The sequence below is a fragment of the Homo sapiens genome, chromosome 11 (assembly GCF_000001405.40).
Source record: "Homo sapiens chromosome 11, GRCh38.p14 Primary Assembly".
Lineage (NCBI taxonomy): Eukaryota > Metazoa > Chordata > Mammalia > Primates > Hominidae > Homo > Homo sapiens.
Genome location: NC_000011.10, coordinates 124,707,176 through 124,716,291, shown reverse-complemented (window position 1 = coordinate 124,716,291; position 9,116 = coordinate 124,707,176). Strand labels below are relative to the sequence as shown.

Below are 9,116 nucleotides of genomic sequence, written 5' to 3'. Positions count from 1 at the left end.
GGAGCCACAAAATGAATCCATGATCCCACTGGACTTAGACCAAAACTCCCGCTTTTACCTGACTTCCATAAGCACATTCTGATTAGTGAACCAAGGTAGGATTTCAGGTTTTAGGATTAGTCAGTTTAATTCCTTTCTTACTGCCTTAAAGAAGGGAGTATCCTCTGGGCCTTCCTGGGGGGATATGGCTAGGAGGGGTTAATCAAGCTGCATATAATAGATCCATTTTAGCTTTCTCATGCCTGTTCACATTTAGACTTCTTCCTCTGTCTATAGTATGCCAAGTTCTGGCATTTCATCTTTACTGACTGTGGCTTGCTGTTGAGATTGACCAATCTAGCCGACTATTAGTGCCGCTTCCCAAGTGCTCAAACCATGACATTAAATACTGATTCCCAATTGTGCACCCATTTCAATAAATTCAGCTTAATCAAGTCTTAAGTTACATTCTTCTTGGCCTAACAACCTTACAATCCACTTAAATAAATGTTCTCCAGACTCCTGCTGATAAAAGTTAATGAAGTTCTGCAACTCTTTTGGCATAAAGTCTATCTCCTTGAGGCCTAGCCTCTATACTTTGCAATCTGGACTATGCTGGCATTTTACTTTCTTTGTGGATCTGGAAGCAATGAGGGGCAGTGGAGGTGGGTCTTGAGGAAAGTCACATTTTTTTTTTGTAAGGGAACTGCCTGAGGAATAGTCATTGAAAGGATTTTATTCAATGGAGTTGGGGTTGCAGGGTATAAACCTCCTCAGAGAGGTTTAGGGGGATTTTAGGATTCAGATTCTTAGTCTCATCCATGTCTACACAAATGTCTATATCGCATCTCTCAGGGTCCCATCTCTCTCCCTTAGTACCCTTTGCATATTGTAAGAAATTGAAACGGAAGGATTTGAGTATTTAATTGGTTTTGCATCTCTGCAGCTATTAACATCATTTTTCAGATGTGGTCTTCTTCCATATCAGTCCATTGACTAGAGGAGAAGGACTCCATTAGAGCTACTGTAGAGATGTTCTGATTTCCCATAATGTTTTCAGTTGGGTATGCAAGGCTTTCAATATGTTTTTTTCCGTGTTTACTCTTTAGAGCCATCAGAGACAGTCAGTTGACTCCACAGTCTTTATAATCACTATTGTCACCATGGTGACTAAGTACCACAGTCACTTTATTTCTATTGCCATCCTCCTTGAATTTATTCCTTGCCACCAACAATGGTAAGTCTAGTCACTGTTATGTCACTGAATGCCATGGATTACCAGTATCCACTGTTCTCCTGGTAAGGAGGTTACTTAAGAAGTTTTGTGCTTCTTAAGTATAAAAGCAATAGAATTTCAGAATCCTACTGTGGGGTTCTGTTTTCTTGGGCCCTTCCTGGTACCTATTCCTATATTTCTCTGGAACCCAGAAGGCAACATGAGGCAACCACTAAGCCACACTCAAATGTGGCTAAGCTCTAGGTGCTCAGGTACACGAGAATAGGGGTAATTGACGTGGATTTAATAAAGGTAATATTTATAAAGATGAAGGCAGGGTGGCAGATTAAAAAATTGACTTCAATTCTTCATTCTTATCTGTATCTGTATCCTTTCATGCCCTCTTGATGGGTGGACCGTGCTTCCCTGCCTTGTGTCGTTGGGCTTGGCCGTGTGATTTGTTTTAGCCAATGACATGCGAGTGGGAATGACAGCATGGCAGTTCTAAGCTTAGGCTTTCATAGGCATCATGTATTTTTGTTTGTTCTTGTGTGCCTCTGCTGCCACAAGCAACATGTTTGCTGATCTAATGAAGATGAGATACATGGGGAACAGAGTTGCTCCAACCACCTCATAGATCTACAGTGGGAAGCATAGCTGCTCTAGCTAGCAAGGCATGAGGTAAAGATGCTCAACTGAGCCCAGCGTAACTCAGCCCCACTCTAGCTGACCTGCAGATGTATGAGAAAAAAATAGTCTTTTAAAAGACACTGGACTTTGGCGTAGTGGTTATGCAGCATTAATGTTGCAATAGATAGCTGATGCTCTGGAGTAAATAAAAAACATTAAGAGATGGGACAGAACCTCAGAGATGTTGATGGTAGGCCGAAGGATCAAGGGGAGGAAGCAGTTACTAGAACCTGGAGAGTAGCTAGAGGAGAGGACTGTATGATAAGAGCTGTGGCCTTTGGTTGAGGGATGCAGGCAATCCATGAGAACCAGGGAGGGAGGCAAGGGGAATGAATAGCATCACCTTGCTCTCCTCCCACCCTCTGATCTCCTCCTGGTGCCTGCCATTGTCCAACCTAGAAGGCTAAGGAGCTCATTGATGCAGTTTATTTAAAAAATCCTCCTAGTGCATAAACACAATGAAGAATAGGTCTGGAAGGGAAAATAGAAAATATCTAAGCCATTGTGTGTCTGAAAATATCTTTGTTTTACCCTCATACTTGTAGGACAGTTTGGTGACACAGAATTCTAGGTTTGAAATAATTTCCTTGAGAAGTTTGAAGACAATCCCACTACTGTGTATGTATCTAAAGGAAATAAAATCAATATGTTGAAGAGCTATCTGCACTCCCATGTTTATTGCAGCATTACTCACAATAACCAAGATATGGAATCAATCTAAGTGTTCATCAACAGATGAATGGATAAAGAAAATGTGGGGCTGGGCGCTGTGGCTCACACCTGTAATCCCAGCACTTTGAGAGGCTGAGGCAGGCAGATCACGAGGTCAGGAAATCGAGACCATCCTGGCTAACATGGTGAAAGTCCATCTCTACTAAAAATACAAAAAAATTAGCCTGGCGTGGTGGCGGGCACCTGTAGTCCCAGCTACTCTGGAGGCTGAAGCAGGAGAATGGCATGAACCCAGGAGGCAGAGCTTGAACTGAGCTGAGATTGTGCCACTGCACTCCAGCCTGGGCAACAGGGTGAGACTCCATCTCGAAAAAAAAAAAAAAAGTGGTACATACACACAATGGAATACTACTGGGCGGTAAAAAAGAACGGAATCCTGTCATTCATATGGACATGGATGAACCCAGAGGACATTATGTTAAGTGAAATAAGCCAGGCACAGAAAAATGAACACTGAATGATTTCAGTCATATGTGGAATCTAAAACAGTCCATCTCACGGAAGTAGAAAGGAGAATGGTGATGACCAGAGGCTTGAGTAGTTGATGGGGGGATAGGGAGGTGTTGGTCAAAAGATATACCATCATGTGTCATGTAATGACATTTCAGTCAATGACAGATGGCATATACAATGGTGGTTCCATTAGATTATGATGGAGTTAGTTGAAGAAATTCCTGTAATCTAGTGAGGTCGTAGCAATCCTAACCTTGTAGCACACTTATTATTATTTTTTACAAATTTAGTGTAGCCTAAGTGTACAGTGTTTACAGTGTTGACAAAGTCTACAGTAGTGTATGGTAATGTCCTAGGCCTTCACATTCACTCACCAGTCACTCACTGACTCACCCAGAGCAACTTCCAGTCCTGCAAGCGCCATTCATGGTGAGTGCCCTATACGGGTGTATCATTTTTAATCTTTTATACTGTACTTTTACTGTACCTTTTCTATGTTTAGGTATGTTTAGATACACAAATACTAGCCATTGTGCCACAATTGCCTACAGTATTCAGTACAATAACATGCTGTACAGGTTTGTTACAGGAGCAATAGACTATACCATATAGCTTAGGTGTGTAGTGGGCTGTATCATCTAAGGTTTGTGTAAGTACACTCTATGATGTTTGCACAATGATAACATCGTCTAAAGGCAGAGTTCTCAGTATGTATCCCTGTCATTAAGAGATGCATAACTGCATAATTACAGTTAGGATAAATAAGTTCGAGAGATCTATTGTATAGCACAATGACTATAGTTAATGATGATATATTGTATGTTTGAAAAATGTGGCCAGGCTCAGTGGCTCACAACTGTAATCCCAGCACTTTGGGAGGCCGAGGCAAGTGGATCACTTAAGTCCAGGAGTTCAAGACCAGCCTTGGCAACATGGCAAAACCCCATCCCTACTAAAAATACAAAAAAAAGTTAGCCAGGCATGGTGGCGTGCACCTGTAATCCCAACTACTTGAGAGGCTGAGGTGGGAAGATCACTTAAGCCTGGGAGGCAGAGGTTGCAGTGAGCCAAGATCACACCACTGTACTCCAGCCTGGGTGACAGAGCAAGACTCCATCTCAAATACAAAATAAAAGAAAAAGAAAAAAAATGCAAAGAGAGCAAATCTAAGTGTTCTTATCACAAAAATGATAACCATGTGAGGCAATGCATTCGATTTAACTGTTCCACAATGGATATATACTTCAGAACATCATATGGTACATGACAAATGCATACAATTTTATCTGTCAGTTAAAAATGTCCAGAATAGGCAAATATAGAGAGATAGAAAGTACACAAGTGATTGCCAGGGCCTGAGGGGTTGTAGGGAGAGGATGGGGGCAGAGAGAAACAGGGAATGACTACTAATAATTATGGAGCTTTTTGGGGGGTTAAAAGAATGTTCTAAAATTGATTTTGGTGATGGTTGCAAACTGCAAACATACTAAAAACCATTGGATTGTACATTTTATTTTATTTTATTTTATTTTATTTTATTTTATTTTATTTTATTCTATTTTATTTGAGCAGAGTCTCGCTCTGTCGCCCAGGCTGGAGTGCAGTGGCGCAATCTCGGCTCACTGCAACCTCTGCCTCCCGGGTTCACGCCATTCTCCTGCCTCAGCCTCCCAAGTAGCTGGGACTGCAGGCGCCCGCCACCACGCCTGGCTAATTTTTTTGCATTTTTTTTAGTAGAGACGGGGTTTCACCATGTTGGCCAGGATGGTCTCGATCTCCTGACCTCGTGATCCACCCGCCTCAGCCTCCCAAAGTGCTGGGATTACAGGTGTGAGCCACCGCGTCTGGCCCATTTTATTTTATTTTATTTATTTTTTGAGACAGAGTTTTGCTGGTCACCTAGGCTGGAGTGCAGTGGCACGATTTCGGCTCATGCAACCTCTGCCTCCCGGGTTCAAGTGATTCTCCCAGCGCCGACCACCATGCCTAGCTAATTTTTGTGTTTTTAGTAGAGACAGGTTTCACCATGTTGGCCACTGTGGTCTTGAACTCCTGACCTCGAGTGATCCTCCCACCTTGGCCTCCCAAATTGCTGGGATTACAGGCATGAAGCACCGTGCCCGGCCGGATTGTAGACTTTAAATGGGTAAATTGTATGACATGTGAATTATATCTCAATAGTTTTATTTTTTTAAAAAAAAGTTTGAAGGAATTTCCAGTGGACTCCACTGAGAGGTTTGAAATTCTTTGGAGTTCTCACTCTTCATGTGTGCACTGTTTTGTCTCTCTCTGTCTATCTCTATCTGGAAACTAGCAGAACCTTGTTTTTGCCCCAGTCAAATTTTCACAAATTTTTACCATGTGCCTTGCAGTGGACTTGCTTTTATTCATTGTTCTAGACAATTATAAGTTTCTTTCAATCTGGAGACTATGCCTTTTGTTCTGGAAATGTTTCTTGAATTGTTTCATCCATGAGTTACCCTATTTTCTTTCACTGCTCTCTGTTTCCAAATTTCTATTTTTCTCTCTTCTATTCTCTCTCTTTGTATTTTTACTCTTCTTTCTGGGAGATTTCCTTAACTTTTTTTCTTCAGTCCTTCTATTGAGTATTGTTTTTAATAGCATTCTTTTTTTTTTTTTTTTGAGATAGAGTCTAGCTGTATCACCCAGGCTAGAGTGCAGTGGTGTGATCTCGACTCACTGCAACCTCTGCCTCCTGGGTTCAAGCCATTCTTCTGCCTTAGCCACTCAAGTAGCTGGGAGTACAGGCGCGTGCCACCGCACCTAGCTAATTTTTGTATCTTTTGGTACAGATGGGATTTCACCACATTCACCAGGCTGGTCTCGAACTCTTGGCCTCAAGTTGATCTGCCTGCCAAAATGTTGGGATTACAGGTGTGAGCCACTGTGCCTGGCTGATTTTTACTTTAAAAGCATTTTAGAATTGAAATATGCTTCACATAACATAAAACTCACCATTTTAAAGTGTATGCTTCAGTGGTTTTTATTATAATTACTACATTGTGTTTTTAATATAATTACTACTTGCATAATTGCACAAATTACTTCATCCCCAAAATATTTCCATCACCCTGTACCTATCAGTAGTTAGTCCCAACTCCCCTCTACCTTCAGCACTGAAAATCACTAATCTATTTTCTATCTCTGTATTTACCTATTCTGGACATCTTATACTAATAGAATCATAAAATATGTGGCCTTTTGTGTTTGGCTTCTTTCACTTAACATAATGTTTTGAGGTTCATCCATGTTCTAGCGTGTAACAATATCTATGTTATTATTTTTTATGCTTGAATAGTATTTTGTGGTATAGATATACTGCATTTTTTTAGTCCATCAGTTGATGAATGTTCGAGTTGTTTCTCCGTTTTGGCTACTATGAATAATGCGACCATGAACATGTGTTCACTAGTTTTAGTGTTCGCATGTTTTCAATTCTCTTGGGATTTACCTGGAAGTGGAATAGCTGGGTCATATGGTAACTCCATGTCTAACTTTTTGAAGAACTGCCAAACTCTATTTATAGAGTTTTAAAATTCTGCTAACAAGCTTTACATTTCTAAAAGCTCTTTTTATTCATTTTCTGAATGTTTCTTTTTAAAAATTGAATGTAATATCTCTCTTCCCTCTCTGATGATGTCAATACTTTTTTTTTTGAAATTTTCTTCTCCCTGCACAGTCTGTCTTACAAAGTTAATTTAATTTTTTAAAAAAAAATTTGTTTTCCCAAATATCTCAATCCTTGGCCAAGCCAGAGTGATTGTATTCAGGAGTGGGGAACCAGAAAGCTGATTGGATCATGGTCTTGATCATGTGGTGTGGGTGGTCTCAACTTGGAGTTTCAAAGTGATTCGATCGGACATTTGTTGAGAACTCCTAATGTTAGTCATCTTTAGGCCAGATGTTTTCAGAGAAGGACCTTCCAATCTCATCTAGAAGGTTAGGATCTTTCTACCAGTGCTCTGGGGAGTGTTTGTTAAAGACGATTGGAAGTCTCTGTACTTATGATTCGGAACGCCCGTGACCACTGAATCCTCCTCTTCAGGCATGGTATTTCCGTCCTCAAAGGGGCCTGGTACCTCCCAGTCTAGAGACTATTCTATTTCTTCTGGACTCTACACCTCCAGATTTCTGCCAGTATGAGGGAGGGGCAGGCTCCCAGTGGCATGGAATCTAAGGATCAAATAACTCTCAAAAAAGCTTTTACCCATGGTTTTTGAAATTTAGCCCTCTTAACTTTTACTTCTTTTTTCTTTCTTTTTTTTTTTTTTTTCGGATGGGGTCTCACTCTGTTACCCAGGCTGGAGTGCAGTGGCATGATCTCGGCTCACTGCAACCTCCACCTCCTGGGCTCAAGTGATTCTCCTGCCTCAGCCTCCTGAGTAGCTGGGATTACAGTTGCCCACCACCACACCTGGCTAATTTTTTTTGTATTTTTAGTAGAGACAGGGTTTCTCCATGTTGGCCAGGCTGGCCTGGAACTCCTGACCTCAAGTAATCCACCCGCCTTGGCCTCCCAAAGTGCTGGGATCCGACTTTTACTTCTAGTTCTGGCAGTACCTGGTACTTGCTAATCTTGTGCTGTTTGTGAATTTTGGGATGCTAATTGTGTTGATTCTCAGCCTTCCTCACTCTGTGGGCTTGGGATTTGGCTCTCGTAGTCCTGCTGGATAAATTTGGTTTCCAGCTTTCAAAACGTGTCGATGCTGTCTCATTTCTTGTTGCCCTACCCATGTGTTAGTTAAAATCATTTGCTGTTGTTGTAATGGAGTTTTTGGAGGATGCAGAATTAGCTGTATGTTTTCAGTCATTCATGTTAATCTAGAAGTCTCCAATCCACCTTTCTAAGTAAATAAATCAGACATTTTTATTTCTATCCAAATCAGTCATGGTCTAATCAGGAGACAGAAACCACTATACTTATTTTAACAGATAGAATTTAATATAAATAATTGTTAGTCAGGTATAAAGAATTGTTAGCATAGTGACTGAGAAAGCTCAAAGAGAAGACACAGCTATTATGGAGATAGAAACTTCAAGAAGCAGCTACCACCCCTAGGCCCGAAGCCCTGAATTACTAAAACTCTGAAACTTGGAAAAAGAGCCTCAGGCAGCTGAAACTCAGTACTCTGAGGAGGAACCTGATAGGCTGGGGCTGGTGTTTCTCAGGGAGCATGATGAGGCCGAACGCAAGTGCTGGGACACTGGATTCCACTGTTCCTGGACTGAATTGCTGCTTGGGAATGAGGAAGAAGCAACGTGATACCAACAGGCATTGGAAGATTGTGCCACTCTCCACTTCCAGCCTTGAAGTCTCCTCTAAGGACCCCTATTCTCTGAGCCTAAAAAATCCACCTGGCAGGGGAAAAATGTGGTTTGAAGAGCCCGACTCCAGCATCACAAAGCCAACCAGAAGTGGGACTGGAAGCTGAGCACCCACAGCTTAGTAATTGGTATGGTCTACCCCTTTGGCTACTTGGATTCGTATGCACATGACTCAACTCACTTAAATTTCCATACAATCACAAAATTGACTGTTTCTACCTTCCTACAAACAAAGGTATTTTCACTTTCTCCCCCAGTATGAGGAGACACAAAGTTCAGGCAGCAATGGTATTCATATGGGGGAGAGTCTCATGATCTATTCTGGGCTATATATTAACTACTGGTCAAATTCAGTCATAGTCCAATCTGAATATTCTGTTTCTAAACACTACCTTGCTTTTTTTTCCTATAGAGATGAGGTCTTGCTATGATGCCCAGGCTGGTCTCAAACTTCTCGCCTCAAGCCATCCTCCCATCTCAGCCTCCCAAAGTGCTGCGAATACAGGTGTGAGCCGCTGTGCCTGGCCTAAACACTACTTTTTCATCCCTGCTCTCCTCCTTAGTTTCCCTCAGTTGGTTCAGAATTTGGGTTGGGAAGAGGGGGTATTATATATTGACCCTCTTAAACTCTAAGTGTGCTTATCATTGTGTTTATTAGCTATTGTGCCCATTTACATTTGTAAGAGCAGTATAAGTGAGT

General features: G+C 41.5%; 1 annotated feature.

The window, feature by feature from the left end:
* Window positions 8,173-8,373: a silencer, noted in NCBI's record as "peak1498 fragment used in MPRA reporter construct". NCBI's record gives its function as "represses an SCP1 promoter by STARR-seq MPRAs in K562 erythroleukemia cells {active_cell/tissue: K562}" and the evidence as "EXISTENCE:reporter gene assay evidence [ECO:0000049][PMID:32103011]".